The sequence below is a fragment of the Homo sapiens genome, chromosome 2, assembly GCF_000001405.40.
Source record: "Homo sapiens chromosome 2, GRCh38.p14 Primary Assembly".
NCBI lineage: Eukaryota > Metazoa > Chordata > Mammalia > Primates > Hominidae > Homo > Homo sapiens.
The window spans coordinates 209650028-209675180 of record NC_000002.12 but is presented as its reverse complement, the minus strand read 5'-3'; the positions used below and the strand labels follow the sequence as shown (position 1 = coordinate 209675180).

The following is a 25153-nucleotide window of genomic DNA, read 5'->3' as shown; positions in this document are numbered from 1 at the left end:
GAAACATTATTTTAGCATAGTCAAAGTTATTGGCTTAATTGACATATTATCTTTAAGACTTTTTAGAGAATAATATTGTTAAACTTTTTCAAATAGGGCATGTCACATTTTATAATATAGAGTTCACAGTGAATTTAGGGAAACAGGAGCCTAAGATTGTTCTGGGAATTTCAACTGGTCCAATTAATTTAAAATCTTCCTCTAAGTAAGGGCTGTCATCAGCAGAGACAGAAGCATTCTTAAGGAAGGAAGAGATGGGCTTCTCTCATTGGAAGCCTCATCAGCAGATCTACTGGGTGAGCTTCATCCTTATAGCATGGCTTCTGGGACAGGAGCAAATTCAGTCAGAGTGTGTGTAAAGTTCAGGGCAGATTAATGGTAAATGTTCCAAACAAACTTAGAAGACAAGGAAAGACAGTCAAAAAATCAGACCTATAAAAATATAAATGTAATGATTATGATGTGTGTGATTATATATGTAATTTCTTCACTGATTCTACATTTGTCTATTAAATACCTCATCCATCCATCCATCCATCCATCCATCCATCCATCCATCTATCTATATATTTAGGGGATTACTGATTGCTGTTTTTTTACAGCACACATCAGAGGGAATCTCACAGACTTTAATTCAGGAAAATGTGGGTACAAATTCCAGCATTGCTACTTTCTAGTTATTTCATACTATGAAATGTATTCAGTCTCATTTTGCTTCGATGCCTTATCCATAAAATGGAAATAATTTTAGTATCTGTCTCAGAGGTTGTTGTGGGGACTCAATTACATAATTATATAACAGGCCTGGCAAATAATTATATAACAGGCCTGGAATACAAATAAAATAAAAACTTCTATATAGTCCTTCACCAGCACATCTTTATTTTCCCCTAGTCATGTATTTTTCTGAGTCTTCTACTTTAATATTTCTACTTTAAAGAAAGAGCAATAGTGATATGCACTAAAGGTCAGCCCAACTAGGCTATTGTTATTATAACCATCTGAAAATATAGTTAATCCAATATCACTGATGTTGATGGCTATGTTAATGGACAAGGGAAGTATTTTTTTTTCCAAGGCAAAGATATGAGAGAAGTAAATATTGTCTTTGTTATTTATTTTCTGGCTTCACACCCAGTTTCCTGGATGCATAGGTCCTGGGCTACCATCTGCTCAAGATTCCATCCAGCAAGTCCCAATTCAGGACTGTCTATTCTAGACAGGGCTCTAAAAGGTATGATAATCCTGTCTAATTCTGAAGACAATTGGTGACATGAAAAATTCTTTTTGAAGTCAGAGATTAGACTACATTTTAATTTTTCATTGCTTACTTTTCCTACCTTCTATTCCTTTTTATACTTTCTATTCTCTTTTTCTTGCTTTTTCTTCCAAACATAGGTGTAAAGTTATAACAACCAGGACTTAGTTGTTAGAAGATTAAAGATGAATCTAGATTACACATAAATTGGGGAATTATTATTCATTATATGTAATTGAAAGGTAACACTGATCTTCATAGCTGAAAATATTAAACAAACATAAAACTGCTTATTGTAATCTGATATTTTGAAAGGCTCAATTATCTTTCTTTTGAACTTATAAAATGTTCTGGCACTGGACATTTTTTAGTTTATGTTAGAAATTATCTTAGTTAATAAGTGTATACAATATGTTTTTCTATTCTTTCTCTTGTGAATGTTCCATTCTGTCTTTTGTGAATGAATGTCAGGGTTTTGATGTAATTAACCGTAGTTTTTGCATTGCAGTAAGACCCTTACATTGGTATTTGAATGTTAATTTGTTATTATTTTATCGGTAGTGTCAATATGATAATGAGACAATTTCTGTAAGTAATAAAAAATATTATAACATGCCTGTAAAGTCACGTCATGGCTATGCATGAGTGACAACTTGGATCTGCTCACAAATCAATTAGAGGGAAAACATTAAAAAGGAACCTTTCTAAATAAAATTCATCTCATAATTTCTAAAAATGTTATTGGTTAAAGGCTGATAAGAATAAAGGATTTAAATATTTAATCTAGGCAACAGAGCAATAGATGATAGCAGATCACCACTATCCAGGTAAACATCTGAAGATAAAAAGTGAAATCTGTCTTGAAAACTTTTCCTGGGAAACAAAGATGGGGTCAGTATTTAGAAAAGAGAATCAAAGCAGTCCTCTGGAAACAAATAATATCTTTTCTTGGTATTAAGGAAATATATTGGTGGAAACACATACAGGAGATTAATATGTATGAGAAACTAATTGAGAAATGCTGTCATCCACCAAAAACTACTTGAAGAAACCCAAACGGTATCATGCTAGGCTACTTACATCTCACCTAACTAATGAATAAACATCACACTGTTATACAACGTTATTAAGCAACCTTGTATAACAAGTTGTTACAGTAGGCACTTTCATTTCTTGTTGATGTTATTTAATACACATATTTACAGATAGTCCAGATGGGAAAACTAGCAAAATAATGGATAAAGATATGCTTGTCCCATTTAGACATTGTTATGATTTACATCAGTATTTTATATAAAAGTAGGTTCTAGTGTCAGAAAACCTGGGATCAAATTCCATCTCCATCTCTTACTAGCCAAAAGACCTTGTTAAGTAACAATCTCTCTAACCTTCAGATTCCACATCTGTAAAGTGGGAATAAGAGTAGTATTCATCTTTTGGTGTGTTGTGACAATTAAATAAAATAATATAAATCAAGTGCTTATTTAAATTAGGTACCACTGTTTTAATCACTCTTGATGTTCTCTTATCATGAAATCTATGAACATAATTTGATTGACAAAATGTAGGTAAGATCTGAAAGTTTTTGTCAGACACTGAGATTATTCTGTCATTTTTCCCAATGAGTACCTCCTTGCTGAAATGTTGGGTCACTGCTGGGACCCTAACAGACAATACATCAGGCTCCTGCCACTTATTATTTAAACTAAAAGGAACATAAGGTAAATTTTGCCCTACTGTCATATCATACTACTCAGCATTTGTAGCCATCATGACCCTCTGGTTTTTTCCCTAATGCTGATTCATGCTGCACCATTGCCATGCTCTTCTGATCACACTACTTGTCACAACAAAAATTTTAAGACAACCTCAGGCTTTGCTTTTAGCGCATTTTAAAGTTATTGTGTTACATTTATCTATCAATATTGCTTGGTTGATTAAAAATAACCAATGGAGATGAAACTTTTTCAATGATCCTGGAAGTTTCAACTTGTTTCTGAGTGATTCTGAGTGATATGTAACATTGTTGGTGGACCCATAAGTTTGATTTTGAATTCGTACCCTGTGGTTTTTCAGCAGGACCAGCTATGATTACTTGAACGTGCAAAGGTTCACCAATTAGACTGTGAATAAAAAAAATCCAAGCACCTTGGCATATGCTTGAGAACATATTTTTGTTGATTTCTTTCAGGTTGTTAGAGAAAAGTAAGAGACAGTGCCTGTAAATTCAACCATATGGAATATAAAAGCCTGTAAATGTTTTAAGAATCTTTGGTATAATAATGTTGTGTTCAAAGAAAACGACAAATAAGCTTACCGTACGCTTGTGGAAGAAGGAAAACAAAACAATTTTAGACAGAATGCTCCTGTCAAGAAAAGGTTTTTCTCAGTAGGGTACAGAATGGTTTCCTAGGAAACCGATGCTAATTGCTGCTGCTGATGGAAACTAATCAACAAGGAAAGCACTGTGTAGTTTGAAGCACTCTGCTAAACAAAGACCCTAGATGAATTCATAAAAATAGGGAAAGAAGAAAAGTTATTTGCTTCTACTCCTTGCTCAATTTGGAGAGTAAATGGTTCCTCTGAAACTATTTCCTGTAATCAACTGATGATGAAGGAAATTAAAAGAGCAAATTGTTGGGTTTTTATTTGTTTGTTTCCCTGGCACCTTTGCATTATTTAGAGGCCAGCATTGGCATGTCTCACCCTAGACAGACCTCTGTTAATCTCAGGGGTCACACTGGCCAACATTGCAGCTACAGATCTTTCCCCACCAGCTTTTTTTTTCCAGATATTTCTTCTAAAGATTTAGCGATTAAAACAAGGATCAATTTGGTTTATGGGGAAAAATGCATTTGAGGCGAAGTTAGTTAACGAAGACAAATGCATTTAAGATAAAAGAATTATGATGGCACAAAATTCAGCTCTGATGGGTACTTAAATTTAAGAGAATTTATTTTGCACCTGCTATAGACAATGGAGCTATTCTTAGTCACTAGTGGGGGATAGAAAGATGAGTAAGATATGGTATTCCTACATTTAAGTTGTGTTTAAAGGGGGGCACTCTTGTTCAAGGACATGTTTTATTTTTCTTCTTCAAGATTTACTAGTAGTGGCCACAAATTTTGACTGATCCCGCCACAGTCACTCATATGGTCCTCTTCTGAAACGGATTTACAAATTGGTAGACTAGGATTGTGAGTACAGTGTATAATCATAGGAGAATTCTCCCTCTCTTGCTCTTTTTTTTCCTCTACCTCCACGTACATGCTCAAACCCACAATCTTGTTTAGATTATACCTTAATGTACTCAAATGAAGTCTTTAGAGTTTAATAGAACTGGCCTAGCATTTAAATTTGGTCAAGGAGGAAAATGTAGTAAATTAATACTATTATCAGTGAAAGGACACCACAGGTTAAAAACACTACATTATGGAGTCAAAGGTAATTAGAAAAGCACAGATCAGAGATAGTACCTACTGGAAAATTTTGCTTCTAATTTTAAGTTCCCAGCTGAAAGTAGGAAACAGAAAACACATTTAAGCAGAAGAAATATGGTAAGCCAGTATCGTTACAATTTAGCTTTATATTTATCATGTTCTAGTTAAAGTGTTCTGCTGGTGGTGGTTTTGGGGGTGTCCAATGGAGTAATGTATTGCATGTTTATGTTGTTTGTAGCCCCTATATTACATATTTACTAATTAACTAAGGTTGTAATATTTTATCAATCTTAACTTGAGAAAGAGAAATTCCTAGAGAGGTTTGCTCCCCTGAAATTTTCAATAGTTTTAACACCAATAAATTGAATCCAATCATTAAGGCACTGAGGGAATTGACAGTACTTTTGGAACTTTGAAATGTTCTGTTTTGCATCTCGTCAAAACTGTTACAATTGTACTACTCTTTGTAGATGTGGGGAAATTGGATTATATTCTCTTCATTAAGTCTTAAAATACATCACATTGCTAAAGGAATGTAGCATGATACATTTTAAATATTAGTGGGAAAATAAAATATCAATAAAACAAAGAGACCTTGAATAAATCCACCCCTAGAAAGAGTAACTGTGAGATAAACAAAATATAAAATATAGTGGGTTTGTGGAAAAGCAATTTTGTGTGTGTGTGTGTGCGTGTGTGTGTGTGTATGCACATGTTAGGACTCATGCACATAGAGGTCTGTCCATGCTTTTAAAGTCTCATCTGTACATGGATACCTCACAGGTCTTAGGCACAAGGAGCAAGGCTAGGGTTTCTTATGGAGAAATCAATGCTTCTATAGCTGCAAAACATAGGAATGCCAATGCTGGCCTGAGACAGGATATGATGGAAAAAAATTCTACATTCTAAAAGGATGTCATTGGAATAAACTTTTGAAATTAAGTTCTCTATATACCAAGAATAGTCTTTACTAGTTACCTCTGTAAACACAGATCTTTCTTCTAGGAGAAACTATATTTGTTACAATAAAATGGTAAAGATCAGCAGCTTAGCTAACTTTTGTTTGATCCTTCTCTCTCATCCCCAACATAACTTAGAAATCTTTGGAAGCCTTGTGACCTAGATGCATATGGAATTTAGGAACCATGTGATGGGAAAAATCACTTTGTTCAAAATACATCAGAAGGTACACTCAATGTTCACATGGAAAAACCAACATGACTTCTGCGTAATCAGATTTCACTTAAACCTCCTTCCCGTCCTATAACGTTTCTAAGAATTCGCAAATAGCAGCAATCATCAACCTTATCTGCTTTCTTCTTAGCAAGTTTCTCATTAACTATTAATGTTGTAAATAAGTGACTGTTCATTTTCTATACCTGCATATTTTATATCATTATAGCTACAAAAGTATTGTCCGCAAAGATTCTCTTTACACCAGCACCTGAAATGACTTGACAGACTTTAAAAGTCAATGTTAAATAGACATGGTAGTTCTTTGTAATTTTCAAATCATAACTGAATATATAATCAGATAATCATGTTTCAGTAATCTTATGGGGGGAAGTACAGTGAAATCAATTACACTATGAACTTCTGAAAACTGAAATACCTACTTAAGAAAAAGCAAAAGAAAGTAAAGTAAATTTGAACCATCCTACTATTCTTTCTTTAATAATGCTGTAAAATAAAAGCTCAGCCACAACCCAAGAGAAGGGGAGCACCTTCACTGGAAAAATTCTAAATATGTAAAATTGATGATAGTTAAAATACTTTTTGCCAGACCTGTACGTAGCAAAATCAACAGACTTTGCAAATCTTCTTTTTACAGCAAGAAGGGTAAGGTCAATGTCATATTTGTATTTCGATGCCATTATGACAGTAAAAAGCAAAGACTTTAATAGAATTTTAAAATTTCTTCATGTCAAAAATATTCTAGAATAAAGACGATTTCTTTTAGACTCTGTATTGATAAATGCACCCCATGGAAAATATTATTAAATACATTTTTCAATTTTATTTCTTCATTATGTAAGACAAATAAAAAACAAATAATAATTTCAAATGCACCTTGAGAAATTTGCAAATAGCATACAAATCTTTAGAAAATATCTCTGGGGCGTTTGTTGAAATAAAATTTTACATTGATGATTTTGCTTCAATGTTGTTTATTCATGTCAATTTCTATAGCTGCATCTCTCCACTGTATTGCTTCTCATTGATACCAAGCACACCTCTAGAAATACCTTCAAAGCATGAATTCCATCTCTATTATACCTATACTTGCCAAAGAACTCACTCTTTACTTGAAGACAATGAAGTTTTATATCAGAATAGAAATGATATCTAGAAGCATAAAACTGTAACTTGTTATTGAAATAGCTCTGGTTGTCCTATTGTAGGAGCCCAGCAGAAAGAGAAAGGTAGATAAAATTTGATGGAGTGGTAGAGTTGAGAAAAATGTAAGAACAGGATGCTATCTAGGTAGGTAGCCTGATATAGGGCAAGGAGATTAAGCTTTGTAATGGGATTTATGCGGGATTTTAGGCATATGAGCATATGACTGCTGACTTGAAGAAAATGAAGAGAAGGGATTGGGGAAGCAGATAGAAAAGTGCTGAAGTCATGTTTCATTTACTTTCTAATTCTGCATAGGGCCGGTCCTAGGTAGGCAGATATTACTATACCCATACAACATACTTGGTCTACAAAGACAGAGCTTCATTTGGAATGAGAATCACAATCTTATGGAATAGACATTTGGGGCTTGTTGAGGATATGGAAAATCAGATTTCATTAAAAGGCCCTGAAATTTTCAGGAAAATATTACAATGAAAATTCAATTTACTATGATAATATATGAAAAATATATTATTTTCTTCCCAACATATAAGGAAAATTTCTAAATCAGGACTTGTACCTTTGTTTTTCAAAATGAAATTACAATGTCAGTATTTCATGTACAGGAGCCCTGATCATGAAGCAGTTGACCAATTCTCGGTTCTAAGAATATGCCTAAAAATAGCTTGGTTTCTCAGATTCCTTTCCTTTCCCTTTGCTAGTTTATCAGTCACTTTTCTCCCAACTTTTACAGAGACCACCCCTTCCAAAAATATTTTATGTGAGTTTGTAGTTTGGGTTTGTTTTCTTTAAAAAAAACTGTAAAAGTAAAAACTCTCATGAAACCAGAGAACTTTGTTGTTTTTGCTCTTTTTCTTGGACAGTTCTGAAATGCACACATGAAACAAAGAGGCAGGAATGACATGATCTGAAAACAACTAGAAGGTGATCAAAAGCTATAGGAAGAGAAGTATGGTTTTAATACAATCATTATGTTAATTAAAGTGTCTTACTGAAATTTTATAGCATAAAATACAAGAAATACCTCAACATTTTAAATAGAGTTTAGAGTGTCCAAAATACTCTTTAAAAAGCAAATATCGTATTTTCATTTTCCCACAGAACTGGTGAAGAAAACCACTTTCTATTTACATACTGTAGTTTTTCCACATTCAGTTGTATCAAAGAACACAGGCAAAAGTTGAAACTTGCCATTATTCAAGCCTCAGGAGATTCAAGCATTTCTAGTTAGAATTGAAAAAATGCTCGATATTATAAAATTTACTTTAAAAATAAGTATAATTTGGGGGAGTTTTTTTCTTCACATCAAAAAAAATTAAATTCAAACTTATCTAGTAATTCCATCATAAGATGATAAAATTTTTTTCTTCACATAAAAAAATTAAATTCAAACGTATCTAGTAATTCCATCATAAGATGATAGTCAGCTAGAGTAATTTAAGTTCACCCTTAAAGAGTGAAATCCAACTAGAAAGGAAACCTGTGTCACCAAAATAGCCAATTCCTTGAGCAGTATTTTTGATGTTGTATTAGGATCATATGAGCAAGATAAATGTGGTCTGCAGAGCATTTCATAACACATTTTTCTTCAGGATGGCAGATGAGAGAAGGGAACTACTGTTATTCCAACTGAATGAACTTCCTTTCTCGTTATCCTCTTGTTATTCCTCTACTGTTATTCCTCTACTGTTATCCTCTACTGTTATCCCAACTGAATGAACTTCCTCTCTTAAAATGTGACTTTTGTTAAGTGGCTACTATATTTGCATCAAACTCAATCATTTGCTTCTTTTCTTATAGCAATCAGGATTTATAAAGAATTAGATGAGAACTGGCCTGGAGAAAATAAATATCTTACATGCGTTGTGATCTACACCAAGTTAGTGCAATATTTGGAGAAAAAGCCACTTTCCCCAGGTCAGCATTTGTGTTCCAGTAAAGCTCGAAGGAAAGCAAGTTTATTCCAATTTTTTTAATGCTTTAGTCACAAATTCTATTTTTCAAGCTGATGAGAAAAACAACCAAAGCCAATTTTTAAAGAAAGACATAAATAAACATGAGCTGAAGATGCAAAATTCAACAAGGAGAAAAAGTATCCAGTGAATTGATTTTTTAAAAGTGGTTATAAAAGTAAGTCAATAATTATTATTACTACTATTAGTTTCCTCCTTGGAGAAGAATTTCACTAAACACTGAAATACTTAATGATTAGATTTAGAAAATGTAAATGGGAGCATTTTCATTCAAATATGTCAAAGGAAAAGAAAATTATGGATCACAGGAAGCTTTTTATTAAGTGAAAAATGAAAACTAAAATGAAACTAAGGAATTATATTTAACTGAAATCACAATATTTTCCTAAAGTTAATGTATAAATTCCTAATTTGATATGATAATGTTGTTTACTATCTAAGAACTCATTTGCAAATAATTTTATGCACTCAAAGATGAAATAGAGAAAATAAAGGGCATTGGTGACATTTGGTCTTCAAAAATAGGATACATAATATCTTTCCAAGACGATACTGGTATACTCCTTTAAAGGAGGCACATATTAAATCCATGACTTAGAATATCCAAATGCTTTAAGATTTAGATTGCCCATTTGTCAGAAATGAGATTTACTTGACCTAGAACAGTGCAGCAATCCTTATTTATAGTCAGAGGATCAAAAAAGACATGCATTATAGAGTTCCATTTACAGAATATTTCAGTGGCATTTTCAACCTAAGCCAATTATTACACTGGCCTCAATTCTGCAGAAATGAACATGAAAAATTTTTCTGTATCTATGTATTTCTTAACCACTAGATTATCTTTTAGAAAGTTCATTTATCTGGACTTTTCATATTATTTTCAGCTCAGTAATTTTCATCATCAAGAAAATATCTCCAATTTGATATCTTACTGCTATCTTCAGTCAAAGATATATTTTCTTTACTCCCAACTCTCACTCCCAATTTCAGAACAAGTCAAGTCTTCCACCATATACTTTCACTACAGTATTTTGGAGTTCCTACCTAATTTCTTTCTGTTCTAACCGACACTTTTAAAGTCCTTACTTTGAATCTAGACTGTTTTCAGTTTCTTGATTACCTCTTCATTCTCAGTTTTCCTTTCTTTTCTTCTTCTTCTTTTTTTTTTTTTTTTTTTTTTTTTGAGACGGAGTTTCGCTCTGTCACCAGGCTGGAGGGCAGGGGCGCGATCTCAGCTCACTGCATGCAACCTCCGCCTCCTGGGTTCAAGCGATTCTCCTGCCTCAGCCTCCTGAGTAACTGGGACTACAGGCATGCACCACCAAGCCTAGCTAATTTTTGTATTTTTAGTAGAGATGGGATTTCACAATGTTGGCCAGGATAGTCCCGATCTCCTGACCTCGTGATCTGCCTGCCTGCCTTGGCCTTCCAAAGTGCTGGGATAGAGGCATGAGCCACGGTTTTCCTTTCTAATACAGTCTTTCCTGCAAATTTATTGTTCACAATGTAGTATAAATTTTGTAGACCATTTTGTTTATGTGATTTCCATTCTCAGAACTATATATGGATACTCTCTCTTCTTTTTGTTTTTTTGTTTGAGACAGGGTCTCACTCTGTTGCCCAGGCTGGAGTGCAGTGGCGTGATCTGACTCACTGTAACCTCCACCTCCTGGATTTAAGCAATTCTTGGGCTTCAGCCTCCCAGGTAGCTGGTATTACAGGCATGTGCCACCATGCCCAGCTAATTTTTGTATTTTTAGTAGAGACAGGGTTTCACTATGTTGGCCAGGCTGGTCTTGAACTCCTGACCTCAAGTGATCTGCCCATCTTGGCCTCCCAAAGTGCTGGGATTACAGGCGCAAGCCACCATGCCCAGCCCTCTCTTCTTTATATTAATTCAAAAAATATGTATTAGCACATACATATTATAGAAAATAAGCACTGTGTTATATACAAAAAGGAAAAGAAAGATGAATGAAGCACAGGTTCTACCCCAAAGCATTTCCAACCTACTGACTGTAATAAAAACAAATAACAAGTAACCTCAGTAAAATGATTGCTATGATCAATTGTATTAGCAAGATATAAACATGGTACTTGGGGGTGTTCAGAAGAGGAAGACTCATTTGAGAGAATAAAATCAACAACAGCTCTTTATCTTTAATGGTAGATTTCCGAGAACCTTTGCTGTAGGGTGGTACCCTTCCAAAATGTTTTTCTTATGACTTCTTGCACAATACTGCATGGGAATGAAAACACCACAATGTAAACTTGCCCATTTACATTCGGCAAATGCAACGTGTCACAAAAGAGAACATTTTAGACCAATCGGAGGACTGATCATTCATGCTGGAGATGCTTTGCAAGAACCAGAGGTGCTCATATGCCAGCATCACTTTGACCTGTGTTTACAAATTAAAAATATGGATTTTCAGGATGCTTAAACTGAATCATATGTATTTAGGATGATTTTTCTCTGAATCTTGATTCCTCCTTTCTTATCTATTTTTGCCTAATGCCTTCTTGCGTATTCCTGAAATCAACTGTATTTTACTCTCATTTCTGTGTTCTAATAACCACCCAGCATTTGCAAAAATTGTTAAAAGCATTGTTAAAAGTTGCATGACAACCTATGACATATGTTTTCCCCTTCCTCTGCTCATCAGCTTGGCTGGTTTTTGAACTGTATTTTCTATGAGTGTTGCTGAATGGTGACTCATTCAGTGAGACGAGCTACACAGTGAGCCGGCAGGACACGGTTTAGTGTCCTTTTCCCCCAGGACTCACGATGCCAGGTCAGATAATGCTGAAGCTACCAGGTCTGCAATGCAGCACCAGTTGTTCTGTTCATCCTCTCCTGATATGATTTCCAGACTCCCCTGACAGTCAAAGCACGTGCTTTATGTAATGTACTGGGGAGCAGTGAAGTGTGAGGGAATGAGAGGAAGAGAAAAAGGCTTGACACACTGAAGTAGAAAGAGTCAGTTTATCTCAATAGCTTAGAGGGGAAAAAAGAGGAGTGATAACTGCTGGGTACTCTCCAGTCTACTTAATAACCTCCCAACCGCAATAAAATCAAACCCAATTCTAAACCGCAAGGCAGCATTTGGCATACAGTGGCAAACATTTTTCTCAGACCTACACAAGTAATATAATCAAAGAATATATATATGTGTGTATATATATATATATCTCACACTTAAAAACACATTATTGCTTGATAAGAAATATAGTCTCAAGATATTTGAGCAATTTATTTGTTCAAAAGTATTAGATTTTTTATCTTATCTTTTTTTTCTTTTTCTCTTTTGTGAGGAGAAAATACTCCGAAATATAACAAAGGACAGATAAAGGCCATGCATAATCCTAACCAAAACAAAGGCTTAGACAGTCCAAAAATGAGTCTAGAAGACTCACTCCCATTACTTATTACTTTCATCTGTTTGCTAAAAATAAAAAAAGAATTTAAGAATTGTTTTAAATTTTTATCTAAATGGAGGTTTTTTAAATCTCAAAAAAATTGAAAAACATTAAAAGAAAAATATGATGACAAAACATGACAGCATATTAGAGGAGAGAAAACTTAACAAGATCTTGGAAAAAATGGGATGAGAGAAAGGTCAAGTAAAAATTACAATGATAATTAAATTATATTTGCACTTAAAAACAAACTAGAAAGAATAATTTTCATAAATAGGTCTGAATTGTCATTGGCAAAAATCTGTTTCGTTAAGATTCAAATTCAACAAAATAATTTTTAAAATGTCAGTGGACCAAAACGTCTGAGGAAATACTTTTTGCGCTTGTGATGTAGTTCTGACATTTAGCACAAAGCGAGACAAGAAACGAGACTGATTTCCACAGTGCATGGGAGGAATTTTCTTGAGGAACACACATAGAAGTACATGTGAATGCAATTAACCTCAGTTTTTAAATATCCTATTATATTGTGTTAGATAGAGCCTTGCTCTTCACAACTTGAAGTGTTTGTAGGCAATTAAAATTCCAAGGAATAAAATCATACCTTAATTTGTTGAGTCATAGGGTTTAATGGAAACAAGTCTTGAGAAACCAAGTTTTCCTCATATATCGATTAAGAATTACCGTCTTAAGAAAATCTCATCCTACCTTAAGACTGGACTACAGAGCAAAGACAGATTTTTATGGGACAAACTACCTTATAGCTGTACAATGAAACAAAACTTTATCTGATGTTGGTTTTTTTCCTCTAATTTGTAAAATATCAAACGCTGTGGCTGGCAATACCTGCTATATACAACCTCATATTGTATCAAGAATAAAAGACACAATTCTTTATTATAATATCCATATAAGCTAGCCCTAAATTAGGTTCAAATCCTATTCATCAACAAGCCAAGCCAAATATTATGATTGAAGCTAATCCCCACAACCAGCTTCACCTAGTAGAGAGACCACATAGGACAAAGCAAACGTGACAATACAAACCTCGTGGAACTGCCTTTTCTATCAATCCTTGTCTTTCTCACTCTTTCTAGCCCCGGATGCCTAACCTTTAGAAGGAAAACACTGAAAAGATCCCCATTTTCTGTCCTCATCCATCGGTGCCACCAGGCCCAGATGCTTCGCAGTGAGGCTGTGTGATTTTCTGCAGATCCACCCTTGAATGCTAAATAACTCTGCTCTGCACACTCCTCTCTCTGCGGAGCTCAGGGAAATGGCAGCCAGAGCAATGAGTGGTTGGCATGGCAACTAGGAAAGGAAAATCTGCAACCTCTCGCATTGTTAGGCGAGCTTGTTTATTTGCTTGGGGGGTTGGTGTGGATGGCTTTAGTCATTTTGCAGGAGAAATGGCTCAGTGCTATTTTGCTCCGCATAAATTAATATATTACATAGAATAGGCCATATTTTAAATGGGATGCTGACTCCTATTAGTAAATCGCAAATCTAGAAACGGAGGCAGGGGAGAAAGGGCGAGGTGAGAAAAGATAGATTTGAATCTTCTGAGATTGAAAAGCAGAACAGAGAGAAAAGCTTTATTTAAAGGCATATGCAGCTTTTTGCATGTGAGAGCTGCCAAACTTTTCCTTCATGTGTTTTCAAACTTAATAATTGCAGCAACAGGCCGGGTGTGGTGGCTCACGCCTGTAATCCCAGCACTTTGGGATGCCGAGGCGGGCGGATCACGAGGTCAGGATATGAAGACCATCCTGGATAACACAGTGAAACCCTGTCTCTACTAAAAAAAAAAAAAAATACAAAAAATTAGCCGGGCGTGGTGGCGGGCACCTGTAGTCCCAGTTACTCGGGAGGCTGAGGCAGGAGAATGGGTGTGAATCCGGGAGGCGGAGCTTGCAGTGAGCCGAGATCGCGCCACTGCACTCCAGCCTGGGCGACAGAGCGAGACTCGGTCTCAAAATAATAATAATAATAATAATAATAATAATAATAATAATAATAATAATTGCAGCAGGCCGGGCACGGTGGCTCACGCCTGTAATCTCAGCACTTTGGGAGGCAGAGGCAGGCGGATCACGAGGTCAGGAGATAGAGACCATCCTGGCTAACACGGTGAAACCCCGTCTCTACTAAAAAATACAAAAAAAATTAGCCGGGCTTGGTGGCGGGCGCCTGTAGTCCCAGCTATTGGGAGGCTGAGGCGGGAGAATGGCGTGAACCCGGGAGGCGGAGCTTGCAGTGTGCCGAGATCGCGCCACTGCACTCCAGCCTGGGCGACAGAGCGAGACTCCATCTCAAAAAAAAAAAAAAAAAAAAAAAAAATTGCAGCAACAATAAATGTATATAACTGAGTGTTGGTCACTTGGCTGCTGGAGTTATGTGGATGTGATAGTATAGGGCCAGATTTTATAAGACATAGCTCCCATGGTGAGCTCCCTGAAAAAGTGACAACGCAAAGCCTGGAAAAGCTTTTCCATTCCTGCCTCTTTGGCAGTGGGTAGGTCTGGATAGCATGCCTGGAAATGATGGGGAGACAAAGGAATCCTGGTAAATTGTGGGGATTATAGTGAGGAATTGCCTTTTAATCTTTACATTTACCCAAGGGGATTGCTGATACTGGCCTTTGATCGTCACGTAGGCACTTTCTACTGTGACCAGCATTTTTTTTTTGAGACTGAGTCTCGCTCTGTCGCCCAGGCTGGAGTGCAGTGGCGCCATCTCGGCTCGCTGCAAGCTCCGCCTCCTGGGTTCACACCATTCTCCTACCTCAGCCTCCTAAGTAGCTGGGACTACACGCGCCCGCCACCACGCCCGGCTAATTTTTTCTATTTTCAGTAGAGACGGGGTTTCACAGTGTTAGCCAGGATGGTCCCAATCTCCTGACCTCGTGATCCACCCGCCTCGGCCTCCCAAAGTGCTGGGATTCCAGGCATGAGCCACCACGCCCGGTCTGTGATCAGCATTTTTTTTTTTTTACTAGTGTTCACAGCACTGTACTTCAAGATAGTCAAAAATCACTAAAGCCTGATTTTAAATACTTTAAAAATGTTTTAGTATCAATAAACATCTCAAAATTGCCTCCCCTTTTTGTCTACTCAGATTGAAAACTAGGAATAAAGTTATGATATCATATCACTTAAAATTACATGAATGTGGCAGTTCTGGAATAGAAGAATTGTCTGCTTTGCCTGTAATCGATAACTGCTGCAACTAACTGCTGTTCTGAATGTGGCAGATGGGGATAGTGGAAACAGCACTGGTCTGTAGGGCAAGAGACTTGCATTCTGGTAGTAGTCATATTATCTACTGTGAAAAGTCATCTCACTGGTCCCTTCCAGCTTTCAATCACATCATCCACAACTGTGATAGAAAAGTAGCTAATTTCACCACGATTTTCTAATAAAGAACAAATCCTGACATTTGCAAAATTAATCCTGAGAGCAAGAAAAAAAAATACACTCATCTAAAAGAGTCTTGAAAGCTTTCACAATGAGTAGCATATTTATAAAGCCAAGTAAATTATAAACTATAGAAAAAAAAATCCATACCACTTCTTGAGGTTAGGACAGTTGAGAAGAGAGTTGCATGAAATTCCTGAACACTGTGTTCACAATTCACCTCTCTCACTTTCTTACTGTGTAATAATGGGCAAGTTGCTCAGCCATTCTGTGCCTTAGTCTTCTTATTTGTAAAAAGAAGACACTAATGACAGATATCCTCATGGAAATTGCAAAAAGATGAAATGAGATAAAAGATATGACGGTGCTTTATAAACTGAAGAGCACTATGGCAGCTTGCAATTCTACACACATTTCTAAGCTGTAGTTTTATATATATTTCCATAATAGTTTTGTAAGCAATTCTTGAGGGATGAATAGAAATTAGAAAATTTTTTCCTCTCGGCCGGGCGCAGTGGCTCACGCCTGTAATCCCAGCACTTTGGGAGGTCGAGGTGGGTGGATCACCTGAGGTCAGGAGTTCAAGACCAGCCTGGCCAACATGGTGAAACCCCGTCTCTACTAAAAATACAAAAATTAGCCAGGCCTGGTGGCAGGCGCCTGTAATCTCAGCTACTCTGGAGGCTGAGGCAAGAGAATCGCTTGAACCCGGGAGGCAGACATTGCAATGAGCCAAGATCGTGCCATTGCACTCCAGCCTGGGAGACAAGAGCGAGACTTCATCTCAAAAAAAAAATAGTAATAATAATAATTTTTTTTTCCTCTCTTTAGATGAAAAGTGAGCAACAGCAAAATTATTACTTTTTTAGAGCAAGGTCAGAAACATAGAACCACCACTTTGTTTGCACATCCCTGTTTTTGCTGCTAGAAAGTACCATATTCAAAATGATTCTATAAACAGGCACAGTAAAGATAGGATTTGATATAATACTGTTAAGGGAATACTAGATGAAGTCAAAACCAATTACACTGTTAAGTCACATGCACAATGATTACAGAAATCAATTGCTTTTCTGTGCCCTTAAAATTTGAAAGGTCACTTTCCATTTTCTAAAATAATTTTCCACTCAATATTTTACAAATTTTACAAATAATCCCTTTTGCCCTTTTATAAGATCTTGATACAAGTTCTAATACGAGTTTGGGCCCCAACCCTGGAACTGAAACTTAAGGATGAGGCTCCCAGTTATCTTCAGAGCTGAAACTCTGTGGGGACCAAAATGCATTCCTCTTGCTTTCTTCAATAAAGATAACACAGAAAAGAGAGGAAAGAATTATTACAAGCCATTACTCTTATTATTTACGCTTTGGAAAACAATTTTAAAATGATGCTTTAACTTAAAAGTGAGACCTCAAGCTATAAAAATCCTAGAAAAAAAGCCCAGGAAAAACTTTTCTGAACATTGCCCTAGGCAAAGAATTATAATGACTAACACCCCAAAAGTAAATGCAACAAAAACAAAAATAGACTAATGGGACTTAATTAGATTAAAAAGCTTCTGCACAGGAAAAGAAATAACCAAAAGAGTAAACAGACAACCCACAGAATGGGAGAAAATATCTGCAAACTGTGCATCCAACGAAGGACTAAGGAATTCAAACAACTCAACAAGAAAAAAAAAATCCTCATTAAAAAGTGAGCAACGGACATGAATAGACACTTCTCAAAAGAAGATGCACAAATGGCCAAATAGGTATATGAAAAAAAATGCTCAACATCACTAATCATCACGGAAATGCAAATTAAAACCACAATGAGATATCATCTTATACCAGTTAGAATGGCCATTATTAAAAAGTCAAAAGACAACAGATGTTAACAATGCTATAGAGAAAAAGGAACTCTTAAACAATGTTGACGGGAATGTTAAATTACTACAGTCTTTATGGAAAACGGTATGGAGATTTCTCAAAGAACTGAAAATAAAACTACCATTCGATCCAGCAATCTCACTACTGGGTATCTACCCAATGGAAAATAAATCATTATATCAAAGACACCTGCACTCATATATTTATTGCAGCACCATTCACAATAGCAAAGGTATGGAATCAACCTAAGCATCCATCAGTGGATGACTGGATAAAGAAAATGTAGTGTAGATATACGATGGAATACTACACAGCCATAAAAAAGAATAAAATCATATCTTTTGCAGCAACATGGATGGAACGGGAGACCATTATCTTAAGTGAAATAACTCAGAAAGAGAAAATCAAATACCATACGTTCTCACTTACAAGTGTGAGTTAAACAATGAATACACAAGGACATAAATATGGAAATAATAGACATTGGAGACTCAAAAAGGCGGGAGGGTGGGAAAGAGGTGAGGGTTGAAAAATTACCTATTGAGTACAATGTTCACTATTCAGGTGACGGGTACACTCAAAGCCCAGACTTCACCCCTATGAGATATATTCATGTAACAAAACTGCACTTGTATCCCCTGAATCCATGAAAATAAAAATTAAAAACAAAAAACAAAGATAAAGATAAAAATTACGCTTTAGACTTATTATAACGACAGCTTTCCTAAGTGGCTAGATGCTTAATAGTTTCTCATTTCTTTTTTTCATGCTTCTGTGGCATGGCTTCCAAAAAGCACACTTTAGTGGTAAGAAAAAATCTTAAGGAATGAAAAATTATGCTACAGTTGAGCAAATAATTCTTTTTATGGATAGTTTTAAATCATAAAAAAGGGGACAAAATCTAGATTATTATTATTATTTTTTTTTTGAGACAGGGTCTTGCTCTGTCATCTAGGCAGAAGTGCAGTGGCCTGATCACAGCTCACTGCAGTCTTGACCTCCCTGGGCTCAGGTGATCCTCCCACCTTTGCCTCTTGAGTAGCTGGGACCACAGGTGTGTGACATCATACCCGGCTAATTTTTTTTTGGAGATGAGGTTTTGCCATGTTGCCCAGACTGGTCTCGAATTCCTGGGCTCAAGCAATCTACTCACCTCAGCCTCCCAAAGTGCTAGGATTACAGGTGTGAGCCACTGCACCCAGCCAATTTAAATTATTATTGCCTTCTAATATTCTCCACTCTCCCACCCTCTGGTGTCAGTGCATAAGATCAAGGATACACTGACTATGGGTTTGCATCTTTAAAAATTATTATTGCCCATAATAAAGATGAACATTGAAGGAGTGGATGAGGGGGAAAAAAGTAAGGATCTTGGTTGAAGTGAGCCCACTCTAATGAAGGAGAAAAGGGGGAAGAAGATGACGATTGCATTTTATTTATCATGTGATCTTATTTATATAAATGATTAAAAAGAAACAAACTTGGAGAAAATATTATTTTAAAATGCAAAGAGGGGACTATAGCAAAAACGGAAAGTAGAGGGAAGATTCTTTGATTTAATCAGTAATGTCCTGGATATTACAACATATAGCTGTGGACCTGATGTCACTGAGAAGTGCCTCACGCTAACAGTGTCCTGAGAAATATCCTTTATAGGGAAAAATGTAATACACTGGTAGATTGTATAAAAGAGTGAGCTGATGTATAGATCCCTGGTCCTTTTTAAAATAATCACATCAAAATATTACGCCAGCTCATATCTATAGTCTCCATCATCAAAGGATAGCATTTCTAAATACCATATTTGGGATTTAAGAGCATTTGTTTATGCTGGAGATGATTTTTATTACACAATTTGTGAAACAGCTGTCAATAAACCATGAATGATAAAAGTTGTTATTTGTTAAATTAGAGTTTGGAAATAAATTTAATTGCATATTAACTCATCACTGGAACATCCTCTGTAGACATGAAAAGATATTATTTTACATTTTCCTTTTTCTAAAGATTTCTACACATGCATATCTCATGGATTCAATACTTGGCTGCTTATTTCTAGAGGAAAGTTAATTTAAAAATCACACCATAGTTTAGTTTGGATTGACTATCACTCTGGTAGCCCATGGCTGACTGTTTACAATTTTTGTCACTCAGAACATACAGACAAAACCTTTGTAATCAATCTCCAAAAGCTAATACCAAATGTGTTTGATACACATTGAGCTGAATTTAAAATGAACTCTGGATGTTCCTAAACCCATCATTTAAAAGAAACGTCTATTAGCCTCTTTTAAATGTATATCATTTTCTCAGAGAAGCTGGTGATAATACACTGACTTGACAAATAGATTTTTCTGATGCTCTCAAATACTTAAGACCACTGAACAGATGAAATAGTGAATGGTGTTGGTTTTTACTGCATGACCAAGCACACTGCAGTGATTTTTTTTTGTGTATTACAAGCTTTCATAACAGGCACTGAGAGTCAACTGGCGAGAGCCCAAGGGACAAAGTAAGACTTTTCAATTGTTTTCATCATTAATGTGAAGAGGACTTTCTTCTTTTTGAATTTATTCATTTATTCCTTCATTCACTCGCTCACTCAACACACATTTATGGAATATTGAAGGTCTAATGCTGCAAGATACGATGATGAAAAAAACCTTGACATATCATACTAACTCTTTTCTTCCTCACAATCAATATGCTATAACATGCTCTCATCTCCTCATGCTGCAATCCCTTGAAAATCCTCTTAGTGCTCCTGACACCCAAGTTCCACCCTGTTAAAGTTGTGTATACTCAGCTATAGAAAAATATTACTTGATCAAGAGTGCTATGTCATCCATATTGATACCACCACTACCACCAATAATAATAAAATTAATTAACAGTTATTATTTCTTGAGCCATTCACTTTGTACACTTTACTATCTTAATTAATCCTCATTGTAACCATGAAATGTGCAAATAATATTTTTATTTTATTCTCAACCACAATTTCATACTAATTGAATGTATGTGCCTGTGGGGCACTGCACAGTATCTCAAACCCTGGAATCAGGTTGGACACTATCACTCTCTTCTTCCATTTCACATGGATTTCTGCAGGGTACTTGCTTTTATCAGAACAACTGCTGAAAACCTATTTTTGCAAAGATATGACATATTAAAGGAATATAGTGTAATGTAATGTTGAAACTGTAAACTATCTTGAGCTAATAGTTCAGGCAGTGTTTGACAGATATTATCACTGTTCCCCTTAAATATTTAAAATACCTTGTTGTATTCTTGTGAATTTGCTGCAGCACCCCAAGATGATAAGATGATTTTGTGCACAATTTGGGGACTTTGGCCCAAAGCAGAAATAATCTGCTTTAAACTTTGCCTTTCTATACTGCTCATGTGGCACTTACATGTTATGCTTTGTATCCAAATAAACATATGCACAAGTCTCATGTCTGCTCCAAGATCATCTGATTCATGAAGTTCTGGGACCATTTCTTGCACATGCACTGGCACAGAAGCTAACACAACACCTTGCATGTAGAAAAGCTAAACTGTAATTTGTTGAATGATGGATTAAAAAAATTACAGTATGTATTTACGTATTTTGCTTTTTTCTGCTCTAAAAAATATGCTTCTAATCAATCCATTGGATTTAGGTCCAAGGTCATTTAAGAGAATTAAAAAAAAACTATTTGTAAAGTTTTCTTTCAATGAGTTAAAATGCTGACAGTTTCTAGCAAAACATACATATACTCAGCCTGCAAAAATTCACGTGATAAAAATTAAATAGGGGAATGGGATTGAGAATACAGATAATGTGGGGAAATGTCAAGTTAGTTGCCATGATTTTTCTCTTCTTTTATTTCCTCTGACTGACTGGAATTTCAGTCCTAGCACTAGTGAAAGAGGATCAGTGCTGTATATTAATTCACTTTCAGACTAAACTGACTTCAAAGCACAAAGCAAGCACTTGGTGACAGTAGAGCCCTTAGTTACCTGCTGTTTCTCTGTCAGCTGAGGTCAGCTCTCCGTTGATCCCATTCTCTTTGGTATTTGAATAGGTGCCCTGTGACCCATGCTCTCCAAAGGCACCCTCTTCATCCTCCCTGTATGGGAATCCATTGGCGCTTCGGACAAGTCCTTCCCCTGCTCCGCCTTGATCCTTAATCTCAGGTGGATGTGAGTGTGCAGATGCCTCTGTTAGCGGTGCTGAGGTCCAGTGAGGTGCCTTTGCTTCATCTTTCCGTTCATCTGCCATTCTTCAATGCCTTGTTATTTCTCCTGCAACTGAAAGAGAAAAAATAGTAGCTATTACTTTGGGGAAATCTTCTGATCTGATATTGGTTGTACCAAGATAGGAAAAATTTGTAGCAAACCGTGTGGCTTTCTATGGTCAAAGAAAACATGTACAATAACCTATGTTTAATATCAAGAATGGGTCAATTAGTTCATCTTGAGTTTTACAGACCATTTCTGGAATATTAGTTCTTTTAAAATAAGATCAATGTCATTCTACACATATTCCTTTTTGTAAACAAACAAAAACAAAACAAAACAAAACAAAAAACCAAACAACAATGAAAAAAAACTAGTGTTTGGCATTTAGGTATACATCTTAATGAACTTTCATTTAATTATGGTCTTGAATGTTGACTGTATGGTAGAGTCAAGGAATCCTTCAGCATAGGGAAAATCTGCAGTATGAGAAAACGGGCTAGAAAAAGTGGGAGGAAGAATGACAGCAGGAATTCTATACCATGAAAAATTATCCCATGTACTCTCTTAAATCATGACTTTTAGTGAGATCTAGAAAAGACAATAACTAACATATTAGCCGTTTTGGTTTCAAGGGTGTTCAATTAAAGCCGAAGGTAGATACACTTTTCTGGATATGTAACAAACCTGCACGTTGTGCACATGTACCCTAAAACTTAAAGTATAATAAAAAAAAAGAAAGAAAGATAGCTTTAACTTAATTTTTTTGATAAACTTTCCTGGACCCTATCTATAGACTAAGAGGAAATGACATTTTCTATTAATGTAAATCTTACAGAGAGAAAGGAAATAAATATAGCATTAGGCCTACATCCTATCTTATGGCATTATTTCTCAGCTAAATCAAATAAGATCTGAAAAAGTTAAAACCATTGACATACAACAGGAAGTTGTAAATTATAGCAAAGGATGAATGAGTTGTGGAGGAGGTGTTCTATACATGTTAATTGGATGGAAGATACTGCATGACCTTCTCTTACAAGCTGATATTACCAAGTTTAGATATATAATTGAAAAGAGGTGATTCACCACTCAGTTTTGGAAAGCTGTTGCCCACCATGCAGCCTTATTGATGGCTTATCGTCTCCACAGTAAGGATGACAACACAGGCAACACTGTCTTTGATGGAAACTAAGAACATCTTCCTTTTTCCAAAAAAGTATCTCAAGCAAAGGCCTCCAAAAAAGTAAGCAAAAATTATATTAAGACAAATACACTTCTTACTACCAAGCTCTGTTTGGAGAAAGTATAAATAAAGTAAGTTTTCCCATCAGATTACTAACAAGCATTTGTCTGGGGGTTTTTTAACTGAATTTTGTTGCTATCCTCCGCTCTCTCTATTTTCTGTTCATAGCAGGAAGAGCTAGATGAGTTAATTCATTTAAGCCAATTTGACTGCAGCACCAAATCTCTCCCAAAACTGATTCTCAAAACAGCTCTATTTATTTTCCCTAAGAACATATTTAAACAGGATGTAAAAATTTAGGTTTTAAAACATTGATTGAAGGGCTTATGAGTAAATCAGGGAGTATCGCTACCTCACTAACTATGTGAAAAGAATTGTGTGCACAGGAGAGTTTTCTCATCTATTAAATGAGAACAATGCTTAGTTTATTGGTTTGTTACCAAGTTTAAACAGAATAAAATAAAGGGCTCAACACAGTTCCTGGCATGCTCAATAAACAGTAGTTATTACATTTGTTATTGTTTGTTAATTATATCATTATTCATTACATATACAACATTGGCATAGGAATAGGAGCCTGAAAACTTGGTGAGTACAATAATGAGAGTTACTTGCAAATCCGTCCCCAGATATTGTGTAGGGATGAATGGATATCCCAAGACAGGCATGGTAAATGTACCAGACATGGTAGCCTAATGAGAAGAGAGCATCCTTGGAATTAACCTCTCCCTGTGTACATTGAAAAATTAGCTACATCTTTTTATAAAAACCATTCTGCAGTGTTCTACACTCCATTCTGCCATTTTCTTCCAGTCACATATCAAAAGATCTAATTGGGTAGCCTAAGCATTGTGTTTCCGCTGAGTTGTGGCATCTTCATATATGTGAAGGATTGAGGAAATTATCTAGATTCCAATTGTGAACTTTTGGATCACAACATTTTACTGATAGATTCTTGCCTACATCAGTATCCTAATCTTTACATGCTTTTATTTCTTTTTTGTTTGTTTGTTTTACCAAAGAGCTTAATTAAGATTTCCATATTCTTATATGGCCCAATTTATTTTGTGTACACAGAGAACATTGTAAACAGAAAAAGTTTCACGTAAATAACATGCCTTGTTGATGTAGCTTTTTCTGAGTTAACAGGCTTTACATTTTTGAAAGTTTTAAATTTACAAAAATATTAAGCAGATACTATAGAGATTACCCATCTACCCCTTGCATACAGTTTTCCCTATTTGAAATATTTTGCATCAGTATGGTACATTTATATAATTAGTGAACATTACTTTTAACTACAGTCCATAGTTTATTTAGATTACTTTAGTTCTTACCTAATGTCTTTCGTTTTCGTTTCAGGATCTGATCCAGGGTACTATATTATATTTAGTCCTCATGTCTCCTTAGGTTCCTTTAAGACCTTGACCTTGAAAGTTTTGATGAGTACTAATCAGATAAATCATATACCCCTCTATTGAGATCTGTCTGTTTTTTGTAATGATTAGTTTAAAGTTATGTGTTTTGGGGAGGAAGACCACAGAAGTAAAGTGTTCAGATGAGATGCTAAGCTACGTGGGTAGGAACACTATGAGCCTTCTGAAAGCTTTTGATACGCTACTGGATATTTGAATCTCAGGCAAAGGCAGTGATGTGCAAAACATCCCAAACCAATTTGCCACAAAACTTTTTCTAACACCGTATTTATTAACATCCCCAAGAGGATCTGGGAAATATTTAGGTTTGTACTTTAGTCCATGTTTAACTCTAGGAGTTCTAGCCACCAAATATTAAAAGCAAATACAACAATATAAGCACCCACAACTCTCAGTTACATTTGACTTCTCTCATCCCCCTGCCATAGAGCTTTCTGGAACAGATTTCTCAGTGACCAAGAATCCTTATTTTAAACCTAGCAAACCAACACTTAAATAGAGAGA

At 35.7% G+C, this 25153-nt stretch overlaps 1 protein-coding gene across 90 annotated transcripts in view; it reads right to left on the bottom strand.

Annotated features, from left to right (window-relative positions):
• MAP2 (microtubule associated protein 2) overlaps window positions 1-25153 on the bottom strand; it is a 310066-nt gene that overhangs the window by 58932 nt on the left and 225981 nt on the right. For 74 of the 90 annotated variants that reach the window (NM_001375493.1, NM_001375501.1, NM_001375503.1 and 71 more), the window contains one exon: window positions 21749-22039. In NM_001375493.1, coding sequence (NP_001362422.1) covers window positions 21749-22010 — 262 coding nt within the window. In that variant the 5' untranslated portion in view covers window positions 22011-22039. Of the gene's footprint in view, window positions 1-13502; window positions 13686-21748; window positions 22042-25153 lie in introns of those variants that run through there. The other 16 variants (NR_164698.1, NR_164697.1, NR_164695.1 and 13 more) reach the window with 2 other exon arrangements.